The sequence below is a fragment of the Homo sapiens genome, chromosome 10 (assembly GCF_000001405.40).
Source record: "Homo sapiens chromosome 10, GRCh38.p14 Primary Assembly".
NCBI lineage: Eukaryota > Metazoa > Chordata > Mammalia > Primates > Hominidae > Homo > Homo sapiens.
In genome coordinates, this window is record NC_000010.11 from 13654686 (window position 1) to 13679573 (window position 24888).

The 24888-nt window shown below is 47.4% G+C and overlaps 2 protein-coding genes across 52 annotated transcripts in view, besides 3 other annotated features; one reads left to right on the forward strand and one right to left on the reverse strand.

Annotated features, from left to right (window-relative positions):
• Positions 1-1244, forward strand: part of PRPF18 (pre-mRNA processing factor 18) — a 68965-nt gene extending 67721 nt beyond the window's left edge. For all 48 annotated transcript variants that reach the window (NR_172905.1, NR_172906.1, NR_172904.1 and 45 more), the window contains one exon: positions 693-1244. The gene's annotated coding sequence lies outside the window, so the exon portion shown is untranslated. The remainder of the gene's footprint in view (positions 1-692) is intronic.
• FRMD4A (FERM domain containing 4A) overlaps positions 1-24888 on the reverse strand; it is a 687219-nt gene that overhangs the window by 10980 nt on the left and 651351 nt on the right. For all 4 annotated transcript variants that reach the window (NM_018027.5, NM_001318336.2, NM_001318337.2 and 1 more), the window contains 7 exons: positions 20226-20359; positions 15721-15843; positions 11412-11640; positions 8768-8824; positions 5631-5868; positions 4638-4805; positions 1951-2837 (listed from right to left, as the gene is read on the reverse strand). In NM_018027.5, the coding sequence (NP_060497.3) occupies positions 1951-2837; positions 4638-4805; positions 5631-5868; positions 8768-8824; positions 11412-11640; positions 15721-15843; positions 20226-20359 (1836 nt within the window). The remainder of the gene's footprint in view (positions 1-1950; positions 2838-4637; positions 4806-5630; positions 5869-8767; positions 8825-11411; positions 11641-15720; positions 15844-20225; positions 20360-24888) is intronic.
• Positions 5583-5632: an enhancer, noted in NCBI's record as "active region_3056". NCBI's record gives its function as "activates an Ori minimal core promoter by ATAC-STARR-seq in GM12878 lymphoblastoid cells {active_cell/tissue: GM12878}" and the evidence as "EXISTENCE:reporter gene assay evidence [ECO:0000049][PMID:35858748]".
• Positions 5963-6022: an enhancer, noted in NCBI's record as "active region_3057". NCBI's record gives its function as "activates an Ori minimal core promoter by ATAC-STARR-seq in GM12878 lymphoblastoid cells {active_cell/tissue: GM12878}" and the evidence as "EXISTENCE:reporter gene assay evidence [ECO:0000049][PMID:35858748]".
• Positions 18882-19406: an enhancer, noted in NCBI's record as "H3K4me1 hESC enhancer chr10:13715567-13716091 (GRCh37/hg19 assembly coordinates)". NCBI's record gives its function as "activates a minimal SCP1, AML or CMV promoter by ChIP-STARR-seq in primed H9 embryonic stem cells {active_cell/tissue: H9 hESC(primed)}" and the evidence as "EXISTENCE:reporter gene assay evidence [ECO:0000049][PMID:30033119]".

Sequence of the window (24888 nt, forward strand, 5' to 3'; positions counted from 1 at the left end):
GCAACCATCTCTACATGCCCCCCCAACCTCTGCATCCCACCCATTCCATTTTCTACCCACTACCATGCACCTTCATTCTGAGTCAAGCTGACCTGGGATCCTAGGTCCCCGCTTTGCCACCAGGAGGTAGGCATAGGGATGGTGACGGTTTCTACAGCAGCAAAGAATCTGATGTCCCCATAGTCCTTTGAGCGAGACCTGAGCAGGGCTCATACAGGGAGGGCATATTTCTCTGGCCCCAGGGCATTTTCAGTGTGGCCCTGTTATGAAATTGTTTCTCCCCATTGTGAAGAGAGGGCATCCAGAAAGGTTCTCAGAGCCTGCTCTCTCTGCTGTTTCAGGCTTATCATTGCTACTGTAGGGCGCTTTGAAGGGAGCAGGGCTTTTAATAGCTCATCCAAACCTGACCACTACGCATTTACTGATGTAGGCAGCATGGAAGTCCAGCTGGAAAGATTTAGTAGGAAGTCAATCCTACGTAAATGCATCCTTTGCTTTTTTGGTAAAGGAATCCTTTCCATCAGTAAACCTCAGATACAGCTTAACAATTTTAGTCTAAAATATGTTCCAAAAGATCTACCTCATCTCTTTACATAAAGCAAATCTACTAGACCAGTGCTGCAGTTTTGATAGAACATAAACCCTCCTGTTTGTTGGAGATATTTACAAAACGTTGGTTCTTTATCTAATAGGGTCACAGAATGATCATACTCAAGATCTTCCTGGGGAGTCAATGGCAAATTTCACTGGGCTATTTTACAGATGAAGAAGGAACATAAAGAAGGTTCTGGGACCCCGAAGTCCACGGAACACCCACCATTACCTGATCTTTGGAGCTTGTCATTTGGCCAGTGGACCCTAATAAACGTCCACGGGGATGTGGGGATAGAATGCCAGAGCCTGGCTCGCTAGGGCATCCAGGTTCTTCCTTCCTCTTTGCCCTGCTGTCTCCAGGCACCAAGAATCTCCTACAGTTCCCCAAAGATGAACCCCCCATTATCTCAGGTCACTCTGTTTCCCCCGATCTTTACCAAATTCCTGACTCAGAGTTCCTCCCATTTGCTTCTGACTCTCATTTTATTCTTACCTCTCATTTTATTCTTATGATGTTTACCATTTCTCTTCTCCTCAGTGTCCCTCTCTGAGTGGTAAGAGTATGTTAATAAGCCAGTGCTGAGACCGGAGCACGAGGCAACTGCTCAATGTTGGTCATTGTCACTGTTATTAAATGTAACTTAAGGGAATGAGTGGTTTCTTCCTTTTTTTTTTGTTTTTTACTTGATTCAATACCGCCCAATGCTCTTGAGTATGAGAATATAAGGTAAACTTTATAGAAATTTTCAGATATAACGTCAAGGATATTTAAGACACTTAAATAATAGTTTGTGGCTATGGCATAACATCATCATCGAAATGGGAAAGCCAGGAGCAGCCAGGAATTCTGTCAAACGCACAGCTCTGGCACTGTTTATTAGCCAGTCTGCCCCCATCTGGGGAGACACTGGCCAAATCTCTAGGCTTGACCCAAGCCCATCCCCAACCCAGCTTCCTTTGCAAGCTACAGCTGTGGGCTTTCACTGGGATACTCTCCTCACTAGGGTAAAAGACACCTTTGGTTGGATAAACCCAGAGACATTACTTTTACTTTACCTAACTAACTTTCTTAGATTTCTGTCTTTACAAGGAGAAATGGGAGAGCTGGCCCAGTGCACTCTGGAGGGTCAGGTGCACGGTTATGGTGCAAGATTAGGGTTAGAACGGGGCGGGGTCAACAAAGGCCTGGAAGACCTCAAGTCTCCCGCATCTAACAGCAGCGTTCCCAGAATTAATTAATGATTCCCGTTCCTCACTGCACCCAGTCCTAAGGGTACCTTCCCCGCGGTAGCCCTTGACACCGGCAAGCAGTTCGCCCTCAGGTCTTCCCGCGTGCACCTGGCCGCCCCCTCTCACCTGACGTGGCCTTGCACATCTGGGGCATCCTGGTGACCCTGCTGTGCGCCACGAAGGTGCTCTGGGAGGAGGTGCTGTACTGCGAGCCGCTGTCCGAGGAGGTGGAGCTGGTGTGCGACAGGCGGCTGTGCTCCTTGTGCGAGGCGGTGGAACGCTGGTACCACTGGCGCAGCTCGTCTGAGACGGCGGCACGGCCCGCGCCCTTGTCGTGGGCGCCCTCGCGGCCCAGCGACGGAGTCCGCAGGATCTGCGATCGCGACGGCGTCAGGCGGCCCGTGTCGCCCTCGTCGCCGCCGCCGCCGCGCCAGCTCTCCTTGAACAGGCCGCCCGCCGTGTAGGAGTTGGACGTCTTGAACTGAGCCTTGACGCTGTAGTGGCCCTCCTGGTCGCTCTCCAGGCTGCGCACCACCACGGGCGTGGCGCCGCCCTCGATGTACAGCGGGTACTCCTTGATGCGGTACTGCGAGCTGGGCTGGCTCTGGCTGTGCAGGTACACACCGCCCCCCGCGCCCCCCGCGCCCCCCGCACCCCCGCGCGCCGCCAGGTTGGGCATGCTGCCCGAGCTGGCTGAGCCCAGTGCGCCCGCCGCCCGCTGCCGCTGCCTCTGCCTCTGGCGCGCCTTGGACGGCGAGTCCTCGGCCAGCGTGGAGTAGTTGGCGTTCATCTGCGCCGGGTAGTAGTGCTCCGAGCTCGAGTGGCTGGTGCACGACGAGCAGTCGTCCATGGGGTCTGAGCCGTTGCTGCTACGAGTCCGCGGGGTGTAGAAGTCGGGGCTCCCGGTGTCGTTTTCCGAGCCCAGGAGCTTGCCCTGGGACTCCAGGCTGGAGCTCCGGTGCCTAAAGTGCAGTGCGAGGCTGTGCAGTCGGGTGGGGCTGATGTCCACCGACCTGCCGGGAGACGACCCGGGTTGGTCTGGGGGTGGGGAGTGGGCCCAAGGAGGGGTGCTCCGGGGAGGAGGGGGTCCTGAGGAGGGCACTGGGTGTCTGCACGCGGGCGCAGGCCCCAGCCCAGCAAGCCAGAGTCTCACTCAGCAGGGCTGCCCCAGGGATCCGGGAACTGCCCATTGCGGGAGGTGAACCTGGGGTCTCCACCATGATTCCCAGTGGGAAGTGGGACTGAAGCTAGGACTCACAGAAAGGTTTCGATTTCTGGGTTTTTTTTTTTTTTTAAATAATTCTATAGACACAAAGAGAATCACAGAATCCTTAGTATCATGTTAAACCAGATAGGGCTGGGCACTGTGGTCCACGCCTGTAATCCCAGTGCTTCAGGAGGCTGAAGAATTGCTTGAGCCTGGGAATTTGAGACCATCCTGTGCAACACTGTAAGACCTCATCTCTTACAAATAAATTAGAAAATTAGCTGGGTGTAGTGTTGTACACCAGGGGTCCCAGCTAGTCAGGAGGTTGAAGAGGGAGGATCACTTGAGGATGCAGTAAGCTATGATCAAACCACTGCACTCCAGCCTGGGCAACAGGGCAAGACCCTGTCTCTCTTAAAAAAAAAAAAAAAAAAAAAAAAAGAAAACACAAACCAGATGAAATGTCCCTATTTACAGATCAGATAAAAGCAGTCCTACAGAGGCCCTTCATATTGTTTAACCAAATACTATTACATGATCCATATAAATAGACTCCCCTTTCCTGTGAAAACTGGGAAATAGAAGGTTGGTGGCAAATGAGATAATTAAACAATGAATGATGCAAATACTCACCATACCATTACTTTATAATTCATTCTGCTCGTTTGAGTCCACTCAGGGCTTAGGGAAGTGCAAAACAGTATCACATGGCAGATGATGTTGCCCGATGCTGGGACTGCATGTGAACTTCACAGCGGCCCCACGGGCCAAGCACAGGAAGAGGCGAGTCCCACTTCCGACTGCCACTCAGAAGGGGGATGAAAGCCCCCATCACGTGGCCCTCCGTGATCTGGTTTGCTTCTTTTTAGAAAAAGAAGGTGTGGCTAGGAGCGGTGGCTCACGTCTCTAATCCCAGCACTTTGGGAGGCCAAGGTGGGTGGATCACCTGAGGTCAGGAGTTCCAGACCAGCCTGGCCAACATGGTGAAACCCCGTCTCTACTAAAAAATACAAAAATTAGCCAGGCGTGGTGGTAGGTGCCTGTAATCCCACCTACTTGGGAGGCTGAGGCAGGAGAATCGCTTGAACACGGGAGGCAGAGGTTGCAGCGAGCCAAGATCGCGCCACTGTACTCCAGCCTGGGTGACAGAGCAAGACTCCATCTCAAAAAAAAAAAAAAAAAAAGAAACAGAAGGTGTGATTCACTGAAGCCTCATTTTTGCCTGGCTCTTTTGCTCTTTATGAATTTACATTTTGAGGCACTAAAGGAAGTCCAGTATAAATTTAGGCCTCAGTAGAAAGATAGAAGACCTCTTCCCATGCTAACCCAGCCAGCCTCTGTGGCCTCTGCTTTGCTTAGGAAACTTTCCATGCTCCCTGTCTCCAGAAGCCCGGGGATTCTTTGGCTGACTCCAAGTGCCCTGTGCATGGGTCTCTTGGCTAACGGGGGTTGACTGCTGCCAGCTTGGTTTTTTATTCCGCTTCATTTATCCTCCCAGGTTCAGGTCTGACTGTAGCTCATCCATTATTTGGGCCAGCTTGGGGCTGACAATGCCCAATTTTAAAAAGGAAGGCTTGGTCTGAGCAGGAAGGCCAGGCAGACTCACCTCGTGGAATGGACGTAGTGGGGACTCCGGACCCGCAGGTCTGGCGTGGACGGCATGCTGGACTGGGAGTTCCAGTGCGGGAGGCCGCGGATGGGGCTGTTCTGCAAGGAGTTGCTTCCTCCGCCGGCTTCCGCACAGCTTCCTGTGCTGGGGAAGCGCTTGTGGCTGCTGCAAAGCCAAGGATGCCACGTGGTCACCGCCAGACAGACAGCACCTTTCCTGGGGGGCTGGCTAGTTCAGGACAATGATCCCAGCATGTGGGGAAAGCTCGCCCGTGACTCCCACCTCGCTTGGTCAGACCTCTACTGTGGTTCTCAGCCTTTCCCCAGCAGGGGGTATGCCCTCCCCCCTCCCAACCTAGGCAATATGAGAGGAAAACCCTGGTCAGCCTTCTCTGTGTCAGGCAGTGTGACGGTCCTGCCCTTACAGTTTTTGTTTTCCAAGAAACAAATATTTACCTGTCCTGGCACCCCCCTTGGAGCTTGGTAGGGTGATTAAAGGAAATGGGAAAAACAGAGAAGCAGACCGAAAATGCCTTCCCCCCCAAAAAAAACCTCCCTACAAAGTCAGCCCGGTAATGAGCTGATAATACACAGCTTGGATTACAGCTGCTTGGCTGGAGAATTCTGCTGGATGAGGGGGTAGAGTTCTGAACCACTCTGCATTTGCTCCGAGTGGACTTTCACTTGCTATTTCAGAATAGCGCTGCCTGAGATTTCCTAATTAATTCCTCTGGAATTTAACAGCATTCAAACCATCTGCCATCACGTTGATTGTGGGCCAAAGCCCCAATTTCTCTGAGTCACAAAAATGTACCTCAACAGTGTCGGCAGCAGAGGGCGCTGTGAGCACGGCCCCGTGAAAGGCAAACCCCACGGGGAGGAACTAGGTTGATGTGGATTTTGTCACCGTGGATGCTACTTGGGACGGCCCTTTGATTCTTCCAGAGCATAGAGGGAGGCCTCATTTGGCCTCATTCACGATGCAGCTCACCTGGAATGGCTGTGAGAGGAGCGCTTCTTGACCTTCTCATAGGGTTCATCTAAAGAGGACTCACTCCACATTTTGGGCTTGATGGGTGACTTGTCATAGTCGTTGCGGTGATAGTGCATCTGTCGGAGTCCCTCCAGGGACTGGGGAGGAGGAGGCCTGTTGTGCGACGGTGGCCGAGGAGGGAGTCCCTTGTGAGGAGAATGTAGGGGGGATATTGTGCTGGTAACCTGAGAGTCTTCTGCACAAAGACAGGAAGAGAGGAACTGAGCCCCGGTCATCCTTCCCACAGGCTGAGACAGAACCCCTACACCCCTCCACCCGCACCTTGGAGCCACACAGCCAAACCCACACCTTCACCCCTGTGATGAGAAACCCTGAAACTCTTCCCCAGTTGCCAAGACAAGTCAAGACGAGTCAAACCAAACCAGGGCAAGCCAAACCTCCACTGCAGGCGGGATTGCATGGGAAGAGATGCGTCACTTTTGATTAGACACGAATGGAGTGAAGTCTGAACGTCATTAAATACCACCAACAAATGACTGCTTCACACTAAACAGCAAAATGTAGTTACTGCTGTAGTGCTAAGTTGTCTTTCAACAGATGCTAAGCATCTGATTCACTGTGGGAGGGTCTGAGTTCTGGGAGAGTTTTGTCTGTTTCATCTGCTGCTAGATCCTCAGCCGACACATAGTAGGTGCTTGATAACCATTGGTTGGAGAAGAAAAAATGAATGAGGGTCTATATGTCCATTGTAAATACCTGCTGGGTGGATCGGGTGTCTACTCTGCTTTTTTCCCCCAGAGCTGTGTTTATTCTCTTTTAATCTCTTCCTCTATATTTTAATTTTGAAACTGCCTTAACTTTTTTAAGGAGATGAGCTACAAAGATTATGTATTAATAAATGATTCCCTGCCTCCAGGAAAGAAATGATCTAACACGTCAGTGCGCTAGAGGACTTTCAGAAAAAGCAAATTCAGTGAGTCTAGGAGGTGCTGTGGGAGAGGCTGGTCTTGAAGGGGCTTGAGCAGTGGGCAGGCAAAGAGGAGGAGGAAGGAAGGGCTTGAACCAAAGTGTGGAGGCCCTGAGGGCAGGGTACCAGCTGCAGGCACATCTGGCCAGGCAGGGGCTGGTGAGGAGGGGCAGGGGGAGTAAGGGCAGAGCTCTGGCCAGCACAGCCGCCTTCTGTGTGCACCATGTGAGCCAAGAGCCCGACTGATGGGGGCCTGGAATTCCGAGTTGAGATTTTGAAAAGCCACAGGAAAACTTTGCGATGTCTTAAGCACGGATGCGTCGGAGTGAAAAATCCTGTTTTAGAACTATTCACCTGGCAGTGTTCTAAAACTAGAAAGGAAGGGAGAGAGACTAGAGAGGGGGATGAATGAGGACTTCAGGCTAGGGCAGGTCAGCATTGAGAAGAGAGAGGAGGGAACGATTCAGGCTTCACAGGGAAGGCAGACATGGGAGGTGGAGGGGAAAAAAGCACAGAAGCAAACCTTACAACCAACCAACTACCATTCACTTGCCCCTAAATCCATTTCCAGCGACTTGTTTCACAGCCTAATTCTCAGTCCCCCAGCCGTGGACACCCACTATGCACCCACTCCTCCTTTGCCCTCAAATCAGTAAAGGAAGAGTCCCCAGAAAGAGACCCTGCAGTGGGACTGTGGCAAAAGGATGTGCCGACACCTGTGAGGAAGTCCAGGGGTCTGCATCTGGAACACGGGGAAGAAGCTGGAATCACGGAATGATATCTCAAAATTACCCCGTGACATTACCTATTGCTCCAGGCACCCCTCTACTACCAAGGAATCTCTCAATTTTTCTTCCCTTTCCAGGGGAGACTGGGATACTCAGAGGCCAACCGCAGGGCTGGGATCTCTGATGCTCAAGCCCCCCATTTCCTTGTAGCCCAATGGCGTCCCCGGCTTGTAATGAAGCAGACAAATATATTCCAATCTGATTTCTAATAGCACAGCCAAGGTGACTGGGTAAATAATCCGCCAGACTTTCCTCACATCAAGAGCAATCATTATTATTATTGCAATTATCATTATTACTATGACTAGTGTGGACCTTTCATGCTTTCCATCTGAACAGCCACTTATCACTGCCTGCCTGAGGTTTCCATACAGGGCAAAAAAATTAACTGCCACTTAATATATTTCCATATAATTAATGTACCCGCCTCCCAGTACGATGGTTAAACATCCACAGGAGTATTCTCACATGGTTCTGGGTTTGGAATTCTTTCTTCCCCGACGTATGGTGGTGATGGGGGTTGGGGGAGGGATCAGTTCTGTTTTTTTAAGAATTTCCCAAGAAAATATCCTAACTGCCAGGTTTTAAGAGTTCAGTGGGAAATAATAAGACAGTTTTCCAGCCTGAGTGTGTATCTACTGGGATATCTCCCCTCTTACTTTCACTACTGTCTTGGGAAGCAACAGAGGGTGTGTTCCATTTCTTCTCACGATCCTTACACTCTCCTAGTGGGTTTCAATCTTTGATTTGTGATCTAAATCAATTTCTACCCTTTTCTTTTAGATACCATGAATACTCAAAAGGAAGCTATGCCTAGTGTGTAGATTCTCTGTCTAGCTAAACGTGGTTTTGGGCCAGGTATGGTGGCTCCTGCCTGTAATCCTCCCAGCACTTTGGGAGGCCGAGGTGGGTGGGTCGCTTGAACCCAGGAGCAACATGGCAAACCCAGTCTCTACAAAAAAATACAAAAATTGCCAGGTGTGGTGGCATGCTGTAGTCCCAGCTACTAGGGAGGCTGAGGTGGAAGAATCACTTGAGCCTAGGAGGCAGAGGTTGTAGTGAGCCGAGATCATACCACTGCACTCCAGCCTGGGCAATAGTGTGAGACCCTGTCTCAAAAAAAAAAAAAAAAGTTTTTGGCTTCTAAAAAAGTAAAGCACCACTCACTGATGAAAAGCTCTAATACACATGGGTTTATGCAGCACCTACCCACTCCCAACCAAAGAGGTGAATACTGGGAAATGAGAGAGCTTGCAGGGAGCCCAGCTGCCTTTTGGCCTGGCTCTTGCCTTTACACAAGGCAATCCCCAGACTACATAGAAATTCATCTCTGTTTACTCTGAGCTGTAGGTTTGTAAGCAGGAAATGCATAAACCTACCATCCTCAAGAACAAGGGCATCTGAGAGGGAGCTGTCTTCACTGGCAATGTTTCCATCTGAGAAGACAAAAAGCAATAGCCTATGAGTTCAGCACATTCCTTCAGCAAAGCCCTATCTGTAAAAATAGCATGTCTACTACCACCTCATACCTTTCTCTTCCTAACCAGAAACAACCCACCAGATACAATAAAAATGCTGTTGGGTGTTTCTTTTGTCAGTCCCCGTGGTGGGTCATTGGCTCAGCCTCCCCACCCCGACACTGCCATGTGCCCATGTGCCCTAGCCTTTGTGTGTTTGTGCCCCGGTTTCATAGAATACTGCAATGCAGAGTGGCTTCATACCGAATATAAAGGCTGCCCCAGCCTGATTAAACCACATCATTGTCCCTGCACAAACCCAGGGCGTGTACCAGCAAAACCAAAGGACGCAAACTGCTTTTGATTCTACAAATGCGAAACCAGGGTAGGCACTTTGCTTTGCTTCTGTGGCAATAAATGGCTTCTCAATAAACTTTGTAAGTCATTAGTAGAGAAAACAAGCGTGCTAAATACAGGCTCCATCTCTCCAAAGCTTATTTTTATAGATGCCATTCAATTAACCGGGAGAACACACCCAAAAGGGAGATGGTAAAATAATCCTCCCTGTTTCACTGCTGGGGAAACTGAGGGGTAGGAAGGGAAGAGTGGTTTGTCCGAGGTGGTTTTGCTCTCCAGCAATGTGAGCAAAGGTCCCAAGTCTTCAGATTCCAAGTTTGGTGTTTTATCTCTAAAATAATACGCTAAGGAACTAGCAAGAACCTTAATTACTCCTCTAGTTCAAGTGGGTCCTTGGATGTTTCTATAGGAAACATGTTTCTGTTGGGAACCCCTAAGTGCCTTGGAGGGGGCAGAGGGTCTCAAATGGAGTGTCAGAAAGAGGTTGGCTGAGGGAGCTTTACTAGGAGGTAGGGGAAAAGTTGTGTGGTCTTGGCCAAGGACAACAGGATGAGATAGGGAAAGATGGTCATTCCAAATTTCCTAGAGCAAAAGAATTTTAAAAAATTCTCTTTTTAACTAGAAATTCACTTTATTTATGTTGCATGATGGACTATGAGCAACCAGGAGCTCTGACTTCGGCATCTTGGAATCTTCAGCACATCACTGCTACGCTAGGATGCTCACGAGTTTAGGCTGCAAATCTGCATCTATCTATATTTATCTATCTATGTAATTGTGGTGAAATATATATAACATCACATTTACCATGTTAACATTTTTTTTTTTTTCAGAGATGAGTCTTGCTATATTGCCCAGACTGGCACGCATGGTTACTCACAGGTATAATCATAGTGGACTACAGTCTCAAACCTCTGGCTCAAGTAATCCTTCTGCCTCAGCCTCCTGAGTAGCTGGGACTATAGGTGCATGCCAACATGCCCAGCTTAACTATTTTTTTGTTTGTTTGTTTGAGATAGAGTTTCGCTCTTGTTGCCCAGGCTGGAGTGCAATGTCGCAATCTCAGCTCACTGCAACCTCTGCCTCCCAGGTTCAAGCGATTCTCCTGCCTCAGCCTCCTGAATAGCTAGGATTACAGGCATGCGCCACCACGCCTGGCTAATTTTTGTATTTTTAGTAGAAACACTTTGGTCAAGCTGGTCTTGAACTCCCGACCTCAGGTGATCCGCCCGCCTCAGCCTCCCAAAGTGCTGGGATTACAGGTGTGAGCCACCTCACCCAGCCCCAGCTTAACTATTTTTAAGTGTACAGTTCATTGGCATCAAGCACATTCCCATTGTTGCGTAACCGTCACCACCATCCATCTTCTGTTTGAATAATATTTTCATGTTTCCAGACTGAAACTCGGTATCTATCAAGCAGTAACTCCTCATTCCCCTGTCCCCTAAGCCCCCTATAGTAACCACTATTCTACTTTCTGTCTTTCTAGAGCAAAGGTATTTTAAACACACATACCTTTATGTGTGTTTAGGAGGAAAGAATGCTTGATATATATTTTCAAGAATTCACTGACTTAGACAAGAAGGATTCTAACAGTTTAGGGGACTTGATGCTTTGTGGGTGGATTTTGGGGGATTTCCTTCTAGAATTTACCAAAGGTCATCACCCAAATTCCTAACCCATGACTGGAGCTCAGGGTTCCAGATAATCAGATGGTCCAGTCTCCCCAAGCTTCAGCTCTTGGGATAGGAGGCCCCTGGCAGCATAGGGGTCAGTGGGTTGGCGGGGGCCGCTCGAAGACAGGGATCACTGCTGCTGTGTACCCCAGCCCCACCTGTCCTTCCAGACTTGAGTAGGGGTGGTCAGGTCCCTGAGAGTGTCAGAGCCTGGTCTAGCCCAGTCAACTCAGCTCAGTTCACAGTAAGGGCTGAGAAGAATGCTAGCTCCTGGCTGCAGGTTCTCCCAGGGAGGAAACCAATAGTGATACCAACAGTTTGATTCGTACAATCCCTTCATCTGTGTCTGAGTCCACTTGGTTTCTCTCATGTGGGATCAGGCCTTACTCGCTTCATTTTATGGATGGACAAATGAAGGCAGCGGACAGTTAGGCAGCTGCTCAGGTCGTGCAGGGACCACTCGTGGGACCTGGCGTCTGGTTGCCGGGGCCCGGGCGTGGGAGTGGGGTGGGGGCAGCCCGGTTGGCACTGACCGTCTATGATCAGCGAAGCCCTCTGGGTGGGTTTCTTCCCAGACTTGATGCGGTTCTCATTGATTGCATTTTCAATCTCCTGCAGTTTCTTCAGTGCATTCAGATACGAGGTTTTCCTTTGTTTCTTCAGTTTTTTGCTGACGTTGGGGTCACTGGCTAGGCGGCGGGCGGCCTCCGTAATCTGGGACTGAATGGCAAACTCTCGTTCCAGGCGTTCCAGCTCAGCTTCCTGTGGGAGGGAAAGCACCGGTTTGGGTTACTGGGGATGCTGAGCAGGGAGACCCTCATCCTTCCCTCCCCTGTCCCAAGGCAAGTCCAGTTCCATGGGAGACACTCTTAAGAGTAGCCCCACTCCTAAAATCTGCACCCACTGAAGTCCCCAGGCACACCCACTGTTGTAACCCTTGCTCCTGTTACTTTCTGAAGACAAGTGTTGGTGTGAACGCTGCCGCCATCGCTGAGAACAGAGTTCCCACGATGCAGGTTTAGGGATCGCTTGGCTGTGTTTCGACTGTCTCCAGCAAGGTTCATCAAGACAAACCAAAGCCTTTGGAGAGATTCAGAGCCCAAGTGACTGTCACTTCCTTTCCATTTTGGATGTAGGATGCAGCAGGATTTTTAGTTTCTTTATGCCATTCTTCTCTGTGGACTTGCTACCAAGGAGCTCACACACATGAGCTAATGCACGGGCCTCTGACTCTCACACTGTGTGCCCCTCACGTGTGCCTAACTCACAGGCCTCTGACTCACATATCTTGTCTTTCCCTGTACCCCCACTCACCCGCGTGTCTTTCGGGAGCTTTTCTTTTCTTTTCTTTTTTTTTTTTTTTTTTTGAGATGGATCTTGCTCTGTCACCCAGGCTGGAGTGCACTGGTGCAATCTCTGCTCACTGTAACCACTGCTTCCCAGGTTCAAATGATTCTCCTGCCTCAGCCTCCTGAGTAGATGAGATTACAGGCACCTGCCACCACACCTTGCTAACTTTTGTATTTTTAGTAGAGATGGGGTTTTACCATGTTGGCCAGGCTGGTCTCGAACTCCTGACCTCAGACTATCCTTCTGCCTTGGCCTCCCAAAGTGCTGGGATTACAGGTGTGAGCCACCATGCCCGGCCATGGGAGCTCATTTTGCAAGCTCTGGCTGTCCCTCCCCCATCTGCCTATTCATGTATACTCTGCTAGGCTACAGCCGGGCCCTTCAAGGGGCACAAATGGACAGTGGGTGGTGGTGGAGGCAGTCCCCCTCCCACCCCACCCCCCCAGCTCACTTGATGTCCTTCCCCTCTTTTTACTGTAGCTCCCTCCCACCTCTATTCTTCCTTTAGCCAAGAAGTACGGATGGATGAGATTCTCCTCAGAGTTTTGGGACCGGGAAGAATGAAGCTGTGGCTGTCAAAAATGCCTGGTGGACCTAGCGGATGACACCTAGACAGCATGTTTGCTGCTGTCCTCTATGCTGACCAAGCCTCTCCTCTGCAGATGTATGTACACCAGCTGCTGAGGGATGGGGGGAGGTAGCTCATGCATGTGTGCGTGAGGATTTGGGGATGAATGCGGAATCCCCCGCAAAGCGTCAGATTGTTCATTTTTCTATTTCCTCTCTTCTCTAGTAAAACCCCTCCGGATCAGAGCTAGCTCTAAACAGCACCTTGTCGGTTGAGATTTTGAGCAACAGGGTCCTGCAAGGTGGGCATATTTGGCAGCCTGAAGGAGAGGTAGAATATTTGCCTAACCCCACAGCTAGTAAACCCAGGACAAATGCATCGGCAGCTTCTCAAGGCCAGGGAGAGAGAGCACACATCTTGCCCTAGGAAATTCACAGACACGCTGAAATTTGATGGGAACTGATCTAGCCAAATAGGAGGAGATCAATTGTTTGCTAGAATCAACAGATCTTCCTGTTTAGTTGCTCAGTAAAATATCCTTGCCTCTGGGCACAATGCACCAAGCTGGAGGATGCCATCAAGGAGAAGTTCTTTGCCTGATCTCATTGACTTTTGAGCACTTTAAGCCTAAAGGGAGCAGGAACAAGAAGCGAGAGGAAAAGGTGAAGGTTAAAGAGAACTATTTCGGAGATAATAAACTCCTTCTGAATCCTGCCAAGGCTGGCTGCGCTGTTGTCTCAGAGGGAGAAGAATATCAACATGGACTCCTGCCTGTGGTCTTGAAATAGGCAAGTCACCAAGGGACAAAGACTGTTCTGTGAGTTTGGGCTCCCTGGGGCAGCTGTTCCTGAGCTGTTACAATGGCCCTGGCACCAGACACTGATTCAGAGTTTTGTGGGGAGCCCAGGACAAATTCTCACTATTTAAACTAAGACAAGTCCAAGGCTGAATGCCCTGTCCATGCAAATGTCTGCCTGTTATATGAATAGGGAAGCAAAGTGCGTTTCCAGGAGCCACAGTAGAGACCAGGTGATCATCTCATGCTTCCCAGAGGAACCCCGCAGAATGCCAGCTGCTCCTGTGTTGGTTCCTTTTACGAACTTAGGAAAGATCATGTGTGGGGACAGGTAAGGAAGCACATGGCTAGGGCATTCTCAGGGAGCTAAAGTCCCGCGGTACTGAGATGCGTGAAAGGTGTGGTGGGACTCTGGGAAGACCAAGGAGGGTGTTGGGGGAACTCCCTAAAAGTGGGGTCCCTTTTTAAAGCTTAAGGGCCAGGTATCTGCCCAGCAACAGGGGGAGTTGAAGTTCCTCCCTAGAGTGGCTCTGATGACCAGCAGGATTTGGAAATACCCGACCTCAATCCCTCCGTCCCCTGCAGTTCCTGCCTACGGTGTGGCACCCCTCCTTTGAGACTGCATCTCCCCTACAAGCAACTGTTTGCTGAGCATCACAAGTGCCAAGTACTGAGTGACGTGTTTTACATACACTGGCTCATTCAATCCCAGGGACACCCCAAGAAGTAAGGGCTATGAGCTCCATTTTACAGACCAGGAACTGCCTAACTGAGCTTTAGTTTTTTTTTTTTTTTTTTTTTTTTTTGAGACAGGGTCTCTGTCACCCAGGCTGGAGTGCAGTGGCGCAACCTTGGCTCACCGCAACCTCCGACTCCCGGGTTCAAGCGATTCTCACCTCAGCCTCCTGAGTAGCTGGGATTACAGGCATACACCACCATGCCTGGCTAATGTCTGTATCTTTTTGGTAGAGATAGGGCTTCACCATGCTGGCCAGGCTGGTCTCGAACTCCTGACCTCAAGTGATCTGCGCACTCTGGCCTCCCAAAGTGCTGGGATTTTGCAGCGAAAGGCGTGGGCCACCACGCCCGGCCACATGAGCTTTAGTTTTAATTGAAGCACATTGGTGTGTCTGCCAGTGTCCCAGGACCTGCCACTGCAGATCTCAGGAGATTCCTCTAACACAGATGGGCCACAAGCACATGGGTCCCTCTCTGAATTCACCCTCACCCTAATCCTACCTACCCCAGGTGTCCGTTTCTCCCAATCACTTTCTTAAAATACTAAAAATGTACAGCATTCCTTTTTCCCCTGGCTCTAAGTCCTGACCTTTTAAGGCCTCTGTTCAAGAGCATGTTAATTAGTAACTTCCTTCAGAAGAAATCTGGGAAAGCATTTCCTGGGCAGGAGCCCTGGGCCTGAGGGTATACCTGGCCTTTACTTTCTCTTGGCCTGAGGCTGGATTCTCATTAACCAGCCAGAGAGTCAAGTCTTGGTTTTGTTTGTTTGTTTGTTTGTTTTCTCCCCAAATCTGAAGTCTCCAGCCCCATCTTCACCCGTGTTCAGTCCAAAGGATGGACGTAGCTTCTCCAAACACAGACAAACAAGGCCAGGGCCGCCCAAGCATCCTGCACACATTCTTGGAGGGATGTGAGTAGCCAGGTGAGGCTATGACCACGGGGCGGTGGACCCTACTGGTCTCTCCCCAGCCAATGTACCCTTGCACCTGATGCCGTGGCCTAAGTTTTCCTTCTCTCGGCAGCTTTTCTTCCATAGATCACACATCAAGCTTGGCTCTCAGTCACTGAGGGCTGAGAGGCCATTACAAAGCCAAATACACGTGAATGCTACTGGAATGTTTTCCCCAAGCTCAACGTGGCTGCTTGCGCTAGACCCACAGCGTCAGACAAGCAACTTCGACAGACACCCAAATGCCTGCAAATGCAAGCAAACTACTCCTACCGAGGGGAACCACATACTGACCGGCCAGCTCACTCAAGAAAAGGTATGAGCGAAAATACTGGCATTAGGCAGAAATGAAGAAATTGGTACAGAAAACCTGGAAGGCCTGACCAATGGGAAAAACAAGGATAACATGAGAGAATCCAACAACAGAAAGGAAGGACGCACCTCTCCTTTGGGCAGGATTTTCTGTTCATCCAGTTTGAAGGCTGTTCCTATTCTTCTCCGAACAATGGGTGGTTCCTCCCCTGGATCCAGGGGATATTCTACTGGCAGCTTGCCCGTGAGCTCCTGCATATGTGAAATGGCATTCGGAGTGAGCACAAATCAGAGTGGGGCGTGTCTGCTTCCTAGAACACACACACACGCACATACACGCACACAAAAATGCACGCATGCACTTCGATACAGGTCAACGCTTATGCTAGAAATGTTCACATTAAGCACTATGCCTAAGTAAGAGGTCAAGAAATGAAATTTCATTTCTCTAACAATGTCTCTTATGTAGAATAGTTGCACTTCCAAAGTTTTTTCCAAAGTAAATTTCTGTAATTGCCATTTGACTTTCATTATAAAACTTGAATTTCATTCATTTGTTAAGTGAACAGATATTTCCTGCCTGCCTCCTCTGTGCCAGGCAAGGTCACCCAGCCAGTGAGGAGCAGTGTCAGCGTGAGTTCTCGGGCCTCTCTAACTCCAAATCCCGTGCTCTTGACACTGCATCAAATATTCCTGCTCAAATATCTAAGTTTAAAGTTTCCTTCAAATGGATTTTCACAAGAGGAGTGGTATCTATATGGCAAATCCCAGAAAAGTGCATAGATAAATAATTTAGAAACTGAGTAAGGATAGTAACCTACTCTGGCCAGATGCTACAGGAATAGGCTGTACTTAAAAGACATTAAACTGTTTAATTTAAAAGTTTTAGTAGAATGGCTGGGCACGGTGGCTCATGTCTGTAATCCCAGCACTTTGGGAAGCCGAGGCAGGCGGATCTCTTGAGATCAGGAGTCCGAGACCAGCCTGGCCAACATGGTGAAACCCTGTCTCTACTAAAAATACAAAAATTAGCTGGGCGTGGTGGTAAGCACCTGTAATCCCAGCTACTTGGGAAGCTGAGGCAGGAGAATCGCTTGAACCCGGGAGGCGGAGGTTGCAGTGAGCCAAGATCATGCCACTACACTCCAGCCTGGGTGACAGATCGAGACTCTGTTTATTAAGGAAAAAAAAAGTTTAGTAGAAACTGAACATATAATCCATGTTATTGACAAGGCTACTAAAAAAACACTTGTTTTGTGTATTTTGGGCCCCGGAAATCTACTTGTTGTGGGTACAAGGACAGTGAATTTAGTTGACAGACTTCCATGGTGACAGTGATCCTGGTTAAAGGCTAAGGATCTGGGGGCGATTCAAGATTAGAATCAGGCTCTCTGTGAGTGAGTTGTATCAGGGCTGAACAATGATCAAATCAGAGTCAGTGGCTGCCCCACACTGTAGAGGCCAGGCATCAAATTCAAGAAGTCACTTCCAGAGACCAGAAAAGGCTGGGGGACCAACTGTGCATCTGTCTCTAATGGCAAAGTGGGCACTTCCAGGCCAAGCCCAGCTCTGGCTTTTCTAGCCCAAATCAACGCAGATGCTGCACAAAGACTGAAGGAGCTGCTCTGACAAGGAAGTTCAGGAGGCTTTTCTCAGGAATATCCATCATCTACACAGAAAGCTTTTGCGCAGGGCAGCCCAGGGCTGAGTGCCCAGCAGGCGGGAAAATCCAAATCATGAGAGTGTGATGCTGGCCCTTCTTCTCCAACTGCTGTGTGCACATGTGTACGCATGTATGCATGTGCAGGCATGGTGTGTGCATGTGTGTGCGTGTGTACATGTGTACACGTGACATGAGCATAAACACATACTCCGTCACTCGCCTGCTTCTCCCTCGCTGTGTTCAGATTGCCGGGAAATGACCCCGTGGACTTTATATTCCTCAATGTAAGCATTTCAGAGCACAATGGCCAACTATCTGAGTATCAGACTCTGCAATTTTCTTCCCTGGTTTTTTCTTTAAAAAAAAAATGTGGTTCAAATGTCTCCAAAGTAGTTAAGTGTTTATTCCGCAACTTTTTTTTAATCTGCTTCCCTAAAAGTCTATCTATAAGTAACACAACTATTGAGGGTTTTATATTGTCAGGACTTGATTTTTTTTTTTTACTTAGAAAATTCCAAAAAGGAGGGAAAAGTTGTTAAAATTGCCATGGATCTGTAACTCTAAACTGTTGGTGGTTTTAAAATGTAGTTTAAAAAATGAGGCTACTGATTTTTTTCACCATCCACTTGAAGGTATTTGAGTCGAAGTCTTGATTCTCCAGATATTTAATCTGATTTCATGTGTAACTGGAGCTGCACGCTGAAGACGTAATTTAACACTCTGCAGTGGGGCCTCGGCTTGGTGCCTCCCTATATCCTGCCAAATGCTCTCCCCCTCCATCATTCTAGTTGCCCCCCTCCCCAGGGGTCAAGCAGCGCGTCTTGATACTCTGAGCTGAGGGGAGAGATGCAGGAACAGCACAGATTTAGCAAGACCTCCCCCCAGCCCTTGACTACACATGCGTCAAGAGGCTATGGTGGGACTAACTATAGGGAATGATCACAGGAGAAATCTACCTGCAACTGATTTCTTGTTGGGTTATTTCTTCCACTCAAGTTACATTTTCTGGTGTTAACATTATAAGAAGTGGCAGCTTTGTTTTCCTTCTTTTGTTTTTGTTTTTAAGAGCGATGGTGAGATTTTTTTATAATGCATGCTCATCTTGCCCTGACATGTTCCTTACCTTTTTGAAACGTGGATTCCCTGCCGGGTTTAGGGACTTTTTATTAAAAACAAAACAAGGCTTTCCAAATTATTAAAGGCAGACACCCAAACTCATATTTTTTCCAATCCTTCAAGCGTATTCTTTATAAAAATGTTGCTAATATTAACAGTATCACATAGCGCATTCCCCAGCCAGGCCAATTGCTTTCCTAAGATTTGCAATGGATTTGTGCTAATGTGGTTCTGCTTTGAGCTGGCTCCGGTTTAAATCAATCCAGACCATAATTAAGCCAAGTTGAAATGTAATGTGATCTCACTCCACGGCCCCTTGTTTCATTCTTCCCGCTGCAAGGCCTTAGTGTTTGGGGGAGGGGTATACGTCTCTTTGACTTACTTTGGGAACCTCTTTTGACTTCCCATTCTCAACTGTTTACCGGCGAAGCTCTTTCTAAGGTTAGGTGGTGCACAGTTGCTCCTGCCCTGGAGAGCTCCCACCCCATTGTGCCCATGTGCACAATGCACACATGTGCATGCGTGCGCGCGCGCACACACACACACACACAGAGTCATGTGTATTGCATTAAAACATGAAGCCTTCAAACACTTCTAACAAATAGTCATGAAATAAACAGACAAAGGTGGAAATGGATATTTAAATAAATAAAGACAGCAGCTTGCAGCAACTTCTGTGAGACTAGCACATACATAGGGTCGAGAAAGCATTGCTTTTTTTTTTTTTTTTTTTTTTTTGAGACAGGGTCTTGCTCTGTCACCCAAGCTGGAGTGCAATGGCGTGATCACTGCTCACTGCAGTCTCAACCTTTCAGGCTCAAGCGATCCTCCTGCCTCACTCTCCTGAGTAGCTGGGACTACAGACACACACCACCACCTCTGGCTATTTTTTTGTAGAGACAGGGTCTCACTATGTTGCTCAGGCTAGTCTCCAACCCCTGGTCTCCAGTGATCCTCCTGCCTCAGCCTCCCAAAGTGCTAGTATTACAGGCATGAGCAGCTGTGCCCAGCCTGCATAAAATTTAAAAATGTCATTAGGCTAAGATTTCATTTTTTAAAATGAAAAAGCTAAACACCAGATCACAGGGTCTAAAGGTGACTATATACCAAGTGAGATCGTGGTTTCCTTGTTGACCACCAGTGTTTCTCAATAGGATGTCCAAAGACAAGTCTGAAATACCCTTAAGAAAGAACAAAAGCCACCACAACAATAAACTCAGGCACAAAATCTTGGGAGGATGGTGGCCAGCCATTATGATCGATGAGGCACTATCACGTGAGGAGATGCTTTATGAACCACCATGCAAGTATGAGGGATGAGGGATCATCATTGGGACTTGTCGCTTGGACTCCCATGGGGTCCTCTTTGGGATTTTGCCAGCACCAACTTTAACTGGTCATCACAGTGCTTCATCAACCAATTCTTTGATGGGTTTAGGGACTTTTTCTTTTGTTGAAAACAAAACAAGGCTTTCCAAATAATTAAAGGCACACACCAAAACCCATATTTTTTCCAACCCTTTAAGCATATTCTTTTAAAAAAATTCGCTAATATTAACAGTATCACATAGTGCATTTCCCAGCCAGGTCAACTGCTTTCTTAAGATTTGCACTAATGCGGTTCTGCTCTTTCTCTGACAAAGCACATTAGAGAGGTTTGGATGTTTCCAACATTTGTGTTTCAGGAGAGCGCTCGCCGCCCAGATAGGCCCTCTTTTTATCACTACCCTTGCCTTCTGTCAAAACGATCAAATGACATCAGTCAAATGACATCAAAAAGATCAAATGACATCAGAAAGATCAGTGACATCACAGACAACACCAATTTCAACGGGATGAGCTAGGAAAGGCTTACAGCTTCTCGGAGACACAGCTTCTTCAGTTCCTCCAGCCTCTGACGCAGGGTTTCCTCCAGAGCTTCCTGCCTGGACTTCAAGGCAGCCAGCATGTCCTTCTTGGCCGACTGCGAGCTATCTGATTCCTGAGAACCTGTCGATAAACAGTGGGGTTACTTGGCCAGCTGACAGGGGACACACATCTGGACCACTAATGAATTTAACTGGAGCCCATGCTGCGGAGATGGGATTTACCCCAGGAATCAAGGGAGTGTGAAATAAAACAGGTGCTCAGCACTCTAACTGTGAGAAGCACATTCCAGCACTGCATGGAATTTATAGCCAGTCACAAGAAATGGCAGGAAGATGGACCCTCCTGAAAAAGAAGTTTATCTTTCTCAATTATCTTAAGAAATGTCACATACCTTTTTAAATTTTACTAGCAAATTCTAATAGACTTTACACAAGAAAGGGGGAAAGAAAAGCTCATGTCAGCAATTTTAATACGTATTGAGTTATTTATCTTTGTTTGAGACAGTCTCACTCTGTCACCCAGCCTGGAGTACAGTGGCATGATCTCGGCTCGCTGCAACCTCCGCCTCCCAGGTTCAAGTGATTCTCGTGCCTCAGCCTCCCGAGTAGCTGGGGTTACAGGCATCCGCCACCACACCCGGCTAATTTTGTATTTTTAGTAGAGATGGGGTTTCGCCATGTTGGCCAGGCTGGTCTCGAACTCCTGACCTCAAGTGATCTGCCTGCCTTGGCCTCCCAAAGTGCTGGGATTCCAGGTGTAAGCCACCGTGCCCAGCCCTAAAACGTATTTAAAATGTTATTTTGTTCCCTTAAAAATACTTATTATTTTTGCTTAGTGCAAAGATAATGTGTGTTTATGATGAAAACCCTGAAAATGTAGACAGGTATAAGAAATAGTCCATTAACTAATCACCCAGAAATAACCATTGCTATGCATTTTCTTTTGGCCTTTTTTCTAAGTACATATATTTAAAAAATAAAATTAGAATGCTATTGTATTTTTTAACTTCATGTTTTGTATCATGAGCAAATTCCCTCCTAATAAAAGTTATACATATTTTAACATACTTTTCCTGGGTAAAACATGATGATTCAAATAGCAGAGTGCTCGATAGGAAACCTTGTGGAAGGCAAACTTCAAACCAAACCAAAGGAAAATAAGCTGAAATGCCATCTGGAGGAATTTAGGTTAGACCAAAGGAGTAATTTCTGGGCTGCCAGTGTTTGGATTCTGAAATAACTTTCCTGGAGTGAAGCTATTGTACTTTTTCTACCTTGATGGGTTAGAAAAGGAACACTGACTCTCTACAAAGGGAAAAGCTGATTATAACTTTTCTTTTCTTTTTCTTTTTTTTTTCAGACAGTTTCACTCTTGTTGCCCAGGCTGGAGTGCAGTGGCACCATCTCGGCTCACTGCAACCTCCGCCTCCTAGGTTCAAGAGATTCTCCTGCCTCAGCCTGCCAAGGTAGCTGGGATTACAGGCACCCGCCACCACACCCAGCTATTTTTTTTTTTTTTTTTTGTATTTTTAGTTGAGACGGGGTTTCACCATGTTGGCCAGGCTGGTCTTGAACTCCTGACCTCAGGTGATCCACCCGCCTCAGCCTCCCAAAGTGCTGGGATTACAGGCATGAGCCACCGCGCCCAGCCGATTACAACTTTTCTTTGCAAGCCCATCGTGAGCAGAAGTGTTAGAAACGGACAGGTGTTAGAGGCTGTGCATTCAAGGGGCTCACACCATGCCATTGACAACTGCATCAAAGAACTTCAAATACCTAGGGAGATTAATCTAATTAAAGATGAGCAAGATCTCCACCGCGAAAACTGTCCTAAAGACCTAAATAGACAGAAAGATACACTGTGGTCAAGGATTAGAAGCTTGATGTTGTAAAGATGTCCATTCTCCATCAATCAATGCAATCCCAGTAAAACCTTGGCAGGACTTTTGGTAGGAAGATGAAAAAATTCTATTTCCATAGGAAACAATGGATTTTTTGGACAATTTTAGTAAACAGATGAGAGAATAATCCAGTCAGAATTCCCAGAATCCACAGTTCTGTTTCTTCCAATGGTAGAAAAGGCAATGCAGCATCATAAAGCTAGAAAGAACTTCTGTCCCGTGGCATCAAACAGCTCTGCTTCACTTAAATTGTCCCCATAAATATACTATTCTTCTATTTAACGTCTCTGAGCAGAAAACCCTGCATTCCATCAATTACCATACATACAGGCTCTTACTACCCTAATCACCAAGAACTCTCAATGTCTAAGAACATTTTAACTCTAACATGGGTTTTGTTCTTTCCCTTGCCTCAATTTGAGCTTGAAATAGAGAATATATCTGTCACCGCAGAAACATACTATCATTATGCCTCCAAAGCAGCTAACAAATATTAGCTTGAATGAACAACCAAATAAATGTTCACAGTCATATACTTGGATGCTATAATTATCTCCTCTTCATAACAAAAATCTAATACCTGTAATTTGTTCCATCGTGGAACCTACCTTCCGAGCTTTGAATTATTTTCGTAGCTGTTTCCTGGATTTTGACATACTTCAGTTGCAGGTCTCCAAATGCAACTGGACACAAGAAAGCTTCATCCGTGACCTCATGGTTCTCAGGTACTAAATCCATATAGTGTCATATTCACACAGCACATCGCTGAACATTATTGCAGGTTCCCCTTTTTGAAATGGTTCAGGTTTGCTCTCTCCATAAGCCAATCACCCTGTGCTTACCAATCCTAAATTGTCTCCAGTTTATGTCCCTCCAAGGTTACATGGCTAAATCATTGTGACTCTTAATCTGGTTCTCTTAGTAACAGTCACCAATCACATCTGAAGACTCAGGAACATTTACTGAAGTACTCCGTTTCATCATTGAAAGAATTAATAAGAATGTAAAACAATACTGGAAGGAAGTCAGACTTTAGATTTAAAAAACAGACCTAGAGAAACTTGGGTCCAAGAAGATTAAAGGATTTCTAGCTCAAGTGAAAAATTCATTGTTTTCCCTTTCACCCCTGCCTAACCTCTCAATAGGAAATAATGATTTATTAAGTCCAATCTAAGAATTAACTGTGTTCTGGAATGGCACAAATTACAAATGAAACTCAAGGGAGGTAAAGCACACAGTTTTTGGATGATCATGTTGCTAGTTATGGGATTAGTTAAGATTTGGCCCTGAGTTCCAGGGCTCATTAATGCTACCCAAATTATTATCATTTCCAATAATTAGCCTAGATACCAAGCCCACAGAAAACAGGCAAGAAAGTCCTGGCAGACTAGATGGCTCAAGAGCCCCTCTCTGTATCCGCTAATGCTGGTTGGCACCACTAATGCTGGTTGGCTCCGTTTCATGCCATTAGCCTGGGAGTTACTTCAGGGCGAAGATGGTGTCTGGGTACCAGGTCAAATCCCCGCAAAATCACTGAGCCAGCCTGCCTTGGACATGCAGATTTCCACTGTGGCGGTAACTGGATGGTGGATAGAGGGTAAAACAGATCTGAGTTTGATAAAGTCAGAACCACTCACTGGATGTGTGGCCTTGGGTAAGTTACCTGCCCTCCTTAATTCATAAAGGCTGAATGAGAAAACACATCTCCAGCACTTTGCACTGGGCCTGGAATAGGTCAACCCTCAAACTAGGGCAGGTTGAACATGAGCATGTGTGCGCACGCGCACGCACACACGTCCTAGTAGAATTAGAAAGAGAAATCATTGCAACTGCCTCTTCACTGTTGCTCAATGAAGTATCGGTCAAAGAGCTTCGTACCCAATTCAGTGTAACACTTGAGGTCCAAAGCTCACCTTTAGAAAGGAACAATACGAACTAGGCAGTGTTTTCTTTAAAAAAATTTTTTTAATTGGCACATAATATGGGGTGCACATTGATGTTTTGGTACATATAATGTATGGTAATCAGATCAGGATAATTAGCATATCCATTATCCAAACATTGATCATTTCTTTGGGTTGGAAATACTCAATATCCTCCCTCTAGCTATTTGAAGCTATACAATACCCTACTGTTAACTATTAACATCCTACAGTGCTATAGGACACTCGAACACATTCCTCCTACCTCACTGTAATTTCTGTCCTACAACAAATCTCCCCCATCACCTACTCTCTCTACCCTTCCCAGCCTCTAGAAACTTCTGTTCTACTTTATACTTCTATGAGATCCACTTTTAAAAAACACATAGTGTTATGGCTGGGCGCGGTGGCTCACGCTTGTAATCCCAGCACTTTGGGAGGCTGAGGCAGGTGGGTCACGAGGTCAGGAGGTCAAGACCAGCTTGATCAAGATGGTGAAACCCCATCTCTACTAAAAATACGAAAAAAAAAATTAGCTGGGCATGGAGGTGGGCACCTGTAATCCCAGCCAGTTGGGTGGCTGAGGCAGGGAATTGCTTGAACCCGGGAGGCGGAGGTTGCAATGAGCCGAGATTGGTCCACTGCACCACAGCCTGGGTGACAGAGTGAGACTCTGTCTCAAAAAAAAAAAAAAAAAAAAAAAAAAAAAAAAAAATATATATATATATACACACACACACACACACACACACACACACACACACAGTGTTCACAAACGATGTTTCCTGAGTCCCTGGGTTAGCAGCTAGGTCTTTGGGGCAGCTATG